Source organism: Homo sapiens, chromosome 4 (assembly GCF_000001405.40).
Source record: "Homo sapiens chromosome 4, GRCh38.p14 Primary Assembly".
Taxonomy (NCBI): Eukaryota; Metazoa; Chordata; class Mammalia; order Primates; family Hominidae; genus Homo; species Homo sapiens.
The window spans coordinates 189,550,331-189,562,161 of record NC_000004.12 but is presented as its reverse complement, the minus strand read 5'-3'; the positions used below and the strand labels follow the sequence as shown (position 1 = coordinate 189,562,161).

The following is an 11,831-nucleotide window of genomic DNA, read 5'->3' as shown; positions in this document are numbered from 1 at the left end:
ACCCAATTTCAAGTACAAAAAACAAAACAAAACAAAACAAAACAATACCTCACAGATTTCTAAGTTGCTGAATACAATGTAATATTTCCTCCCAAGACCCAGAAGAAGTTGATTTGAAAAGAGCAATTACTATACAGACTAGAGTTATATACCATTGGTCTAGTTAGATTTGCTGCGCTTAATGTTACTATTACGTAAAGTTAGTAGTTAGGGTCTCAGACTTTTAAAATAAAAAAAATGTAGGTACTATGATGGCAAATATTGGGGTTCATATTGCAGAACAGTTGAAGTCATATTTCACTGTTGATTGAACATGCCATGGATATGTGAGCATCTTGAGTTGGTTGCACGACTTTTACACTTCCATTCTGAATGCAAAAACTTAAAGCTTTATGCTTAAATTAAATAATGTGGCTAAGATTGTTAACACGAGCATATGAAACTCAGCTCCTTGAAATAGCCCACCTAAAAAGATGCTTGCTTTGGGGGAGCTGAATAATTTTCTGGGGACACATCTTTTCTTTGTTTGATTTGTTTGGTTCAAAAAAAAAGCATTCATATTATGGCTTGATATGCCATAAAATTTTGATTTAAAATCTCTAAAAGCCAGAGAAAGACTATCTACAAAACTGTCAAGATGCATTTTGGATTGTCTCCCTACTTCCATTTTCTTCAAAAGATTTAAATGCAATTTGGATTATAAAAATCGCATTAAGATAGAAAGACTGTGGGATGCATTTCACCTGGGGTGCTTGTTAAAAAACGCAATTTCTGGGATTTCATTCCAGATCTACTCAATGAGACTCTGCAGGTGGGCCCCTAGAATCTGCATTTTTTATGCTTTCCAGATGTTTCTTATGCACAGTCAAGTTTGCAAACCACTGCTCTCGAGTTTTAACTGCCATTAAGTAGAACTTTTAATGGATGCAGCCTTAATTTCTGAATTATTACTGATTAATAGAATCTGCTTTTACTATACACTCACTAAAATACATAGCTGCTTGGGCTGAAATATACAGATGTGTTGCCTTGCTGAAAAGGGAAGGAAAATCAAATCTCCGACTGAGTCATGTTTGAAGTTTAGCCATGAAATTTGATGGCTTTTAGCTGAATTAAATGGCAGGCAAAATGTGTGTCTGTTCTCCACCTCTCTCCTCTAACAGCGTTTCCCTGTCTTGAGCTAATCCTTATGCAGGGATGTCTTATCACTGCTCACTGAATATCTATAGAAAGACACGAGTTACAAAGTCAAGAGCTGCAGACTCCTCTAGGTTTTTCCTCGGAACACTCAGTGACACAGAGCTGTGTCAGGCAGAGCCTGCTGCTGATTTAATTTGATCTTTCTAGGGAGGATTAAGACTATTGTCCTCAACCCAGTTAGAATGTTGCTGCTAAGTTATAATGTGTCAGAGGCTTTTTCATTTTCCCAGAGCCAGTGCTGGCTGGCGTGGCAAGTGACAACATCCCAGCATTTGCAAAGTGACTACATCGCAGTATTTGCATTATCTTCCTTGGCGTGCACATCTTTCAACCACGTCAGGGAAGCGGTTGGAAGGAAAAATCACAGAGCACATAAGAAGGACTTCTGGGCCTGCTCTGGAGGCTTGCAGAGGACATGCCCGAAGGGGTGCATGAAGCCTTCTGTCCCACACCTGTCCCTTGCCTCGATGGGATTTTGTACACCACAGGTTTCTGTCACCACTTTGCCTTGAAATTGCAGGCCTCAGTTATGAATTTTATAACAACATCCTCAAATAAGGCCTCACTTTGCAGTGTATGCCTAACTTAAGGATGATTTTTAAATGACTGTGTCATGTTTGTAAAGACACTTTGTACTTATCGAAGTGCTTGCATATATACCATCTCATTTAATGCTTGCCAAGATTCTGTTAGGTATGCGAGGCAGGTACTGTTACCTTCACCTTATGAATGAGGAAAAGGCACACAGAAGCTAATAACAAGTGAAGTCAACACTGGGTCTGAAATTTGTAAACTCTGATATAAAAAAGAAATCGTATCTCTGGAAAGAAAACTGTTGCAAACTATACACCTGCTTTCCAAAACGTGTGGCTCTTCAGTAGCTATTTTGCTGCCTTCTACCTACTCCAGTGTGCTGTTGGCTACGTCCAGTGCTGAGGACTGGGGAGGAGGCTTTTCTTCCCGCTTTAGGATCATGGTGATGTCCTTGCTGAGGACTGGGGAGGAGGATTTTCCTCCCACTTTAGGATCATGGTGATGTCCTTCCAGAATTTGAACTGTGCTTTGGTCCTGAGCATGTCCTGGGGTGCAACATTCATTGTTCTCATTTGTTAGAGAATACAAGATCAGAATTTAAATAGTCACTGTTTTCCAAGATGCAAAGTGATACGTTCTTGGTGTTTTAAAATCCTATCTGTTGATCTGATTGGCTGGTATTCCAGTCTTCCCTGTTTATCACTCTGTGACTGGTGGGATTTGCCAATAGGTCCAATAATTTCTCTTTCCAGAAACATACCGTAATATTGGTGTAGGATTTGTGGCCAGAACTTACTGGGCATCACCCCAGTTACTGTCCTAATACCTCATATTGTGTCAGAAGCTGACAATAGGAGTTGAAAATGCCATAATATGAATCTGTTCTCATAGTGAAGATCGTAATGAGAACGGGAAAGGCTGCAGACCGAACCAGTTCTCATTATGTTCTGAAGCCACATTTCCTCCCCACAACATGAATTGTATGGTCCAGGCTCTTTAATCAAGAATGTTCCATTTGAAAGCATTCCTCATCCCACAGAAAACACAAATTTCACTTTGGAGCACCTGTCTAGTGGGAGAATTTGTTTTCTCATTCAATTAACCAGATTGAAAACGTAAGAACACTATTATGGAAGCTTCAATGTCAATGTGTGTGTGTATGATGATTGTTGCTAATTAAAAATAAGCTGATTTAGGACATTTGAAGCAAAGAAGCACTCACGTTCCCTTATCTCGGCATTTAAACCGTGCCTGGACTCTGTGCTCTCTGCCCACATTATCTGGCTGTGCGTGGCATTGCTTCCGGCTGCAATAGTGGGAAAGAATTTAGTAGATGTTCAAACACAAATATATTGTTAGCTTTTTTTGTTGTTGTTAAGGCTGCTTCACGTATTTTAAATTTTTCTTTTCCTTCTGGGAGAGGAGTTACTACTATTAACAATTCTGCACATTGCTTGAGGCAATGATAAACCATATTACCCTATTTATTTTACTCTCATTGCTATTTGAGAAAATGGTGGGCCATATATGCTTGTAGATTAGCTGGTGTCTTTTTGAAGCTACTGGCAAGGCTATGTTTAAAGTTTCAATTCTAATAAAAATGTGTTTAAAGCAACCAATGGCACCGTACAGGGAATGGCAGAGGAAAGGTCATTCTGTGTGTCCTGCGGCCTCAGAAGTGGGATCTTCCCCACACTTTTCTGTGAAGACAATGCAGTTCAGAGCAGAGACATCTTCGAAGCTGCTTTGCACATGATGGTAATGAAGGATTGCAGTGTGAGGTCACTGGGATTCCCAATACCACAAACACTGGTGTTATGAAAGGATGCTTAGTCCCAGCATGCCTAAGAAAACTAAATCTGATTCCTAGTCTTGGAAATCTCATCTCATGCATGATGCCATGTTTCCAAAACTGGAACATTTCTACTGACATATTTCCATGACTTCCTTTGCTCCAGCCACTGAACACTCACTCCCAGTGTGTCCTTCCTAAAATGTTAGTTAATGTGTTATCTGTTCATGATAGTGCACCTGTCTGCATAACTTCTGTGTATTTGTTTATTTATTTAATTTATTTTTTTGAGATGCATTCTTGCTCTGTTGTCCAGGCTGAAGTGAAGTGGCGCGATCTTGGCTCACTGCAAACTCCACCTCCTGGGTTCAAACGATTCTCATGTCAGCCTTCTGAGTAGCTGGGATTACAGGAACACACCACCATGCCAAGCTAATTTTTGTATTTTTAGTAGAGACAGGGTTTCACCGTGTTGGCCAGGCTGGTCTTGAGCTCCTGACCTCAAGTGATCTGCCTGCCTCTGCCTCCCAATGTGCTGGGATTACATGGGTGAGCTGCCACGCCTGGCCAACTTCTGTGTATTTATTGAGGGAGGTGATTTGGGTGGGGATGGTGGAAGGATTGGGTCATGTGAAAGAGAAGGAGTCCTGGTTTGTAAGTTAGATCATGTGAGGGATAGGGATAGGGAGTGGAGCACAGGGTGAATGAGACCACACACATGTAAGAGGGAATGATGAGCAGGCAGGAAGAGAGGGTTGGTGTAGGCAAGGGTTGGTGTAGGAAAGGGGTGGTGTAGGGAAGGGGTAGTATAGGAAAAGTTTGGTGTAGGAAAGGGGTAGCGTAGGAAAGGTTTGGTGTAGGAAACAGGTGTTGTAGGAAAGGGGTGGTGTAGGAAAGGGTTGATGTAGGAAAGATTTGGTGTACGAAGGGGTTGGTGTAGGAAAGGGGTGGTGTAGGAAAGGGTTGGTGTAGGAAAGGTTTGGTGTAGGGTGCTGACATTTGCATAAGTTGCACTGGGGTAGGAGTGGATGATGATGGAAAGTTGGAAGAATGTGATATTTGGGTGGAAATAACAACTTAGAAATTGAGTCATCTTTTAGCTACAGAGAAGGGTATTCCCTTCACCATATAGTGAGCGGGTGCTGTATCCATGGCTCTTGACAAAGTTGTTTACTTTGTGCCTTTTCCTGCATTATTGGCATCTGGAGTTCTAACAGCCAAGAGAGACAGAGGTCATAGTGGAATCAATATTTCTATTACAGATAAGAAAATCCCAGAAGGAGGGCCTACATAGATTAACCTGTACACAACCAAACTAAGATTTAAGAATTTTTCTGAAGATAATCCTGGGATTATGTCTCACATTTCATTTTAAGCTTCTTTCTTCATTTCCCTTTGCTTAATATTTCTCTCCCCTATTTTATTCCTCCTTGAAATAAAATGGGACAATAATGTGTTTTAAATGTAGAATCAAGGAATAACAAGAAATCGTCATTTCAACTGCTATCATGTCCAGTGAAATTAAATGCTTGGATAATTACTTTGTTAATTACTAACAACTCCAAAATTCTGATTCTCAATCCACAGTCTATTGAATCATATAAATGGCTTGCTTTTATTGAATGGAAAAAGACAAAGAAGAAAAAGAGTGTCCAGTAGAGAGGAGGAGAAAGCACTACAGGGAACACCAGGGTCCCCATGATAAGTTCACTTTATTCCACTCCATACTTCCTGTTAATTAGGAGCTTCCAATCATTGCAGCAACATGGGGTCCTACACTTTAACCCAACCCCTCCTCTTCTACTATCCCTAACTTTGACTAGTATGAGATGAATACTTGAGTTCAGCAACTTCCCATGGCTTTCGAATCTCAGGAGTTGTTCTTACTCTTTTTGATATAACAACCCTCAATTAATGTTTGGTATTCTTACGCAACCAGTGGGAAAACAAGTATGCATCTGGAAAGCTTAGAAAATATAGAGATAGTCATATACCTAGGCTTGTTTTTATTTTAATTGAGCAATTTGCAAAGGTATCTTCTATATTAATAAATGTACATTCAATTCAAACAGATTGATATTGAATTAATAGGAAGTAATAAATTGGTTTATTTATGCTAGTGGAATTAAAAAATCTTGCTACTCTATACATTCAATTTCTAGTCCCTGCTTTGAAAAGAGCATTTTCTTCCTTTTGAAATATATTTGAGCATAGTAACTTTCAAGGTCCTAAGTTTATTGGCATAATTTAATGGAAAAATTTATGCTCTAAAGCATTCATTTTTTTCCCCAAGCTTTGTGGTTTTCAATTTCTCATCTACTGGGTGGCTTTTAGTTTACATGGCAGAACAGAATCTTCTCAACTTTTTGATTCCCCTGATAAAATATTCAATAGAGAACTAAGCCAAAGTTTGCTTCACCCAAGGACATGATCTCATCCTTATTCTTGTCTTCATGCCTATTGAAATACAGCTATTCTTGTATGTATTTAGCTAAGTGATAGGCTTAAGCATCAGTTGTCTTTTTTGGCTAATTTGTTTCAAAAGTAATTGAGCCCATGTACACATGAAATAATATGTAAAACAGTAAAGATCCCTGTACACAACAGTATTGAAGCCACTGTAATATCTCAAGACTAAATTAGACACTCTCTTCCTAGGCCCCTTTCACTCCTCCACCCTCCACCACATAGGACACTTTCTGGAAAAGAAGTCCAGGCAAAGAGACGTTAGTTTAATTGTTGCTAACGTCACATAGAAATGATCACCATCTTGGAATTTCTGAATTCACATGAAAGGGTGATACTGAGTTTAAACGTAAAGTTTCATATTCCATTGGTGTCAAAATTGGTGGACAGAAAGAGTACAGGATTGTAAAGCAATTTCAGAGCAAGCTTCTAATGGCAACTTTAGTCCATAGTTTGGATCCTGTGCCCACCTGACATCTATTCTTTTTTTGAGATGGAGTCTTGCTCTCTCTCCCAGTCTTGAGTGCAGTGGCGAGATCTGGGCTCACTGCAAGCTCCGCCTCCCGGGTTCACGCCATTCTCCTGCCTCAGCCTCCCGAGTAGCTGGGACTACAGGCGCCCACCACCAAGCCAGCTAATTTTTTATATTTTTAGTAGAGACGGGGTTTCACGGTGTTAGCCAGGATGGTCTCGATCTCATGACCTCGTGATCCACCTGCCTCGGCCTCTGAAATCTATTCTTAGCTGTAGGTGGGGACCAGGACCAGAATCTTCAGAGCAGGCCCTAGAAAGCTGGGAAGTCAGGGGATTCCACTACAGGTTTCTCTATTCTGTCGGCATTTTAAGTGGTTCTGTTTAGATCTAGTCACATTAGAGCTACCCCTCAAACAGACGACGACTCTTAAGAGCCCTGGAATTTCTTTATTACCCAGGGAGTCACTGGGGACTGGCAGTAGGTGCCAGGTTTGGTGATGGCGTTTTGTGAATCGCTGAGCTCATCTCAGGGCAGAGCAGCTTCCTAATGTGACTGTCGTCTCCTCTTCCTTTCCCTCCAACACCAGCCACACTTCACTGCACTGGCCAGGTGTTTACCAACCTACCCCTTCGTACAAAGTTCAACCTGACATTGTTTCGTAGTCAATGATATAAAGCTTGTTGTCTAAGTCAGCATCTGCAGTTTTACCGACTGATAGAAAGGTACAAGATAGAATATGATTCGGGACAGGAGTCATCAACGTGTTGCCTTTCTGTTGCATGGAATGATACGTTTTGAAGTTGCAAGTGTCCTGAAATTTCAGGACTTCATCTTAAAGATGAAAAAAAGATGACGTGTCATGCACAGCTATTTAGTGGCAGAATTTGAATTCAACCCCAAGTCAGGTTATGATATCTCCTGTGTCAGAGGAAAGTACTTTTGATAATCCCAGAAATATCAAGACTCCAGTGGCAGTGAATATTTGGTTTCCACTTTGAAATGTAGATCACATTAGCAGGATATTCCCTAAAGGAGCTTTATACACAGTTGGTCCTCTCTCTGTCAACCTCATCTCCGACTCAAGTGGATCGAGTTCAAAACAGCCACACTTGTTCCAGAAGCCAATTTTGTTTGGGCCATAATATAGAGATGGTCCCATACAGCCTTAAAGCATGCTAAGCATAGGTAGCTGTGTTTGTTACAATAGTTGAAAGGAGAAAGCCATAAAAACAAAGTCTCCCACTATTTCATCCAATTTAAAATTGCGGAAGGTGACAGAAAATATAACTGAAAGCTTTCCCTAACCTCTCTTAAAAGAAGTCCTAGAAAAAAAAAAAGAAAGCATTTCTTTCCTTGATGATTTCTAAGTAATAACTAAATATGGATGCAATTTTGAACCGTGTATGGATGTTCCCAGTGTAATGTTCCTCTTTTGGAGACATCGCATCATATTTATTTATCTCACTCCCTGTCCTTTACCCCATTAAAGTGGACCTGTGCATAGTTGATGCTTGTACCAAGATACACACCTTCTTCCTGTTTCCAGGACGGTACGATGGGAGGCAGGAGTGAGTGTCCGGAAAGAGGGAAGAAAAAAAACCAAATCTCATCGTTGCTTATTTGTCTACTGCTTTTGGCTCTGCTGAGATGTGAAGTCATTCTCATTTCTTTGTGTTCGGAAGTATAGCCTGCGACTTGTTGAAAGCTTAGCGCTAGACCTGCCTCTCAGAGACTTGCTCCCTCTGGAAATGCCCAGCTGAGGATGCGCGTGGTGCGTGTTGAAGAACACTGCCTTAGAGGTGGACACTTGTGGACAGGTGCGCTGCGGCCGGACTCGGGGACAGGTGCGCTGCGGCCAGACTCGTGGACAGGTGCGCTGCGGCTGGAGCTGGCCTCGCATTTCTTCACTTTCTGAAACATAATGCCCTCAGTGAGTTGCAATTTCATATTGCTACATTTGTTTTTACTGGTGTTAAATTCCGGCAGTTAAATCTTTAAAGGGTTACTAAAAAATGCGAATATTTGTGTATTTACATGTCTAAGGAGAAGACCCTTTGGCAGTCCAGGAGGAGACCAGGACTCAGGCTTTTTCTTCCAGTTAACTGTGGAGGACACGCCGTTGCTGCTGCGGCTGCTGAAGGAGGAGAAATCTCCTTGTTCTCCTGTCTTCCTGCTCTCCAGTCCCCTGTCTGGGCTTCCCATTTGCTGAACACAGCCAGATGCCAGCCGAGCTCAGGAAGCGTCGTTTGCAGGGGGTGTATCCAGAGACACAGCTCGGAGCAAGGGAAGCGAGAGGAAGAGATCCAACCTTAGGACAAAGGGCCAAGAACTTGGAGAGGACTTGGCCTAGGAGACAATCTAGGGCAAGCACGTTATCCAGGGTGACTGGGCAGGCAGAGAAACCCCAAGAGGCATAGAGCTCATGTCCGTTCGAAGTAGGAGAGTCTGGGCTCTGCTCTCGGAGTCGGAGCTGGGGGCCTTCAGGGTACTTCCTATGGAGAGAGCCTAGTTTATCAGAAAAAAAGGAACTTTCCTTTTTACCGTCTAGCCTTCACCTTGGCAGGGAGACAGCTGTTTGGAGTAAAACACTTCAACTCGACATGTCAAACCAGTGCTTCAGCAGAGCTGTGCCTGGCCCGCCCACCTCTCCCCTGCCCTCGGTTTTGGTCCAGAGTCTATTTTAAACGTCTGATGTCTCTCTTGGTTAGTGTGATTGAAATACGGCAGAAAGCCAATTGCATCGTGTGGGGAAGTTGAAATCAATGCAACCAACAATTATATTAACGGTCTAGTTAAGAATAAAAAAGTAATAGAGCAGACGTGCCTTGGTGAACGTTTATTTTCTATGGAGAAATAAACATAGTTGCTGCTTTTGGACTCCACCCTGGGCAACAAGGTAATGAATGTGGAGTTAGGTGGTGACTAAAGAATTTGGATTCTTTCCTCCAGGTTACAATGCTCGTTAAGGGGCGGCCTGTAATGAAATCTGCGCCATGTGCTAAAACCAACTAAGTGATTATTTTAAAAGTCACAGTCTGCGTGGGGCTTCATAAATTCACACGAGGGAGAGCTGTCTAATGGGATTGCCACCTTCCACCCCCAACGCAGACTTCAGCTCCTTCCTAGGTCTCCACTCAAAGGCTTATCCCATGGCCCGAGCAGGGAAGGCCTTTTTGTGTGAAAACACCTGGCCACCCAGCTTCAGGAGCACTGAGCGCTTTCGGCATGGCCGTCCCCACTGGCCCACGCGGCATTTCTTACAGTGAGCTTGGTTTTTAACTGCATTGTTTTGCTTAACAAGCTGTTTTTCTTTCTACAGATGTAACCTTTTCCTGTGTTTCCTGACTGGGACACCAGCCGGGTATTCCAGCCAACTTTGGTAGATATATATCATTGTTTTTTTCGCCAGGCTTGTTTTAAAAAATCTACCTATTGCTTGCCCTGATCAATCCATCACTACCCTTGAAAAGGTCATGGTTCTCTCATCAGGAAACTTTTCAAAAATCCTTGGCTGTGATTTATCTTATGTTACGGGCTCTGACAGTGATTCTCAGGAAGCGAGGCCCATTAGTTTCTCGTAAGGTCACTCCCCTGCTGTCGCATGCAGAGTGAGTATCAGTTGTGCTTGCCTGAGTTTGAAGCATCCTCTTGGGTGATTTCAAGGGGGGCAAAGGCAGGGCCATGACTGGTTTCTGTGTGGAGACTCACACGGGTGAGACAGGTGATCCACGGTGGAGAGGGAGGGTGTCTCTTGTAGGTGCTAGAGCCTCAAAGATAGCTCTTATTTTCAATCCTGCTTCTCCAAGATTCAGTTCACAAAGATAAGCATGCCTGGAAATATTTAATATTTTATCTTATTATATTCATATTCTGTGGTTGTTTAAAAATTCTTCAGTATGTTATAAACAAATGTTTCTGATTCCCCATAAGCTTTGTAGGGACATTAATTATTACTGACATGAGAAATTAAAGGCAGCCTAGATATTATTTTTAGGAATTACAGCATTTGAAAATCATATTCAGTGAATTTCAGAGAAATTATATCTATACTATTTAATACCGAGTAATGTTTAGTGAAAGGGTCAGACACTTTGGGGTAAAAAGCTGCATTATGAAGTCAAATAATTTGTTTTCATGTTTAGGAAGACATTTTTAGGGAGATAGTTTTGGTTATATGAATTCTTTGTGATAAGGGCAAAATCAGATATTATACAGGAAGCATTTATGATACCCATTCAATTGTAAGATCTCACTATTTTCCCATTCAATAATCTCAGCCACCTAAAATACGTCCAGTGTATATTTTCTGTTCTTTCTAGATATATCGTCATTTCAGATGCTCATTTCAGCCATGATCATTTATTCCAGAAGCACTTGTTAGGACGTTATACTTATTTCCTTTAAGTATAAGGTCCTGTGTTGACTACTGAGAATGAAAAACTGAACAAGACAGAAAGTCCCACCTTGAAGAGCTTCCAAGTGTAGCGAGTCTCCTGGCATCAGGTATGGCTGGTATCATGGAAACACTCGGCTGACTGTCCAGGAGATGCTGGTTAAGAGGCGGAAGGTGATGGCGTGAAATCAAGTTCAGGTGCAGGGGACACTCCTGAGAGCATTCCTGCCCTGTCCCCGTGGCCTGAGCGGCCTTCTCAGTTGCACAGGTAGGTTTTCTCTGCTCTGCACTCCCTCTGTCCCAAGGTACCCTTTAGCAAAGTGTAAACTTGTAAGAGTGGTTAGCCTTGGACTTTATCTCAAGTCTGTAATAAGGGCACCTACACTAAGACTGAAACTGGAACTTGCTATTGGTGATCAAACCATCAGTGTTAATAAGTCACTTAAGTTACATTTATGGACTGGAGAAAGAAATGGAAGAAAATCAGAGTACAAATAATAAATGGTTACCAGGTCCCTAGACCTGAAAGGGTGAATACATTCATGCAGTAGGTGTCCAGGATCCTCATGTGGTCCTCCTTCATGCTTAGGAACAGACACTCATCTTCACTACGCAAACCAGAGCCTGCATGCCTTTCGTGGTCCTTCATGCTTAGGGACACAGTCGCTCATCCACACTATGCAAACCAGAGCCTGCATGCCTTTCGTGGTCCTTCATGCTTAGGAACACGGTCGCTCATCTTCACTATGCAAACCAGAGCCTGCGTGCCTTTCATGGTCCTTCATGCTTAGGAACACGGTCGCTCATCTTCACTATGCAAACCAGAGCCTGCGTGCCTTTTGTGGTCCTTCATATTTGCAGTGTGTGGGTTGGAGTTGCTTTCTTAGCCATGACAGTGACTGAAGGGAATATCAGAGTCTGTTAATGAATGATGCTTGGAGATTTCATTTTCAAAATGTATTTTTAAATTA

General features: G+C 42.0%; 1 long non-coding RNA gene across 1 annotated transcript, besides 1 other annotated feature; it reads right to left on the bottom strand.

Moving 5' to 3' along the window:
* Positions 1-10,072: 10,072 nt before the first annotated feature.
* On the bottom strand, positions 10,073-11,380 carry LOC105377615 (uncharacterized). The gene is made up of 3 exons (XR_939635.2): positions 11,370-11,380; positions 10,931-11,016; positions 10,073-10,298 (listed from the first exon to the last, which is right to left on the bottom strand). It is a non-coding gene; the product is annotated as an uncharacterized LOC105377615 (long non-coding RNA).
* Positions 10,318-11,517: an enhancer, noted in NCBI's record as "BRD4-independent group 4 enhancer chr4:190471799-190472998 (GRCh37/hg19 assembly coordinates)". NCBI's record gives its function as "activates an origin of replication core promoter dependent on BRD2, P300/CBP, MED14 and CDK7 cofactors, and independent of BRD4, by STARR-seq in HCT116 cells {active_cell/tissue: HCT116}" and the evidence as "EXISTENCE:reporter gene assay evidence [ECO:0000049][PMID:35650434]".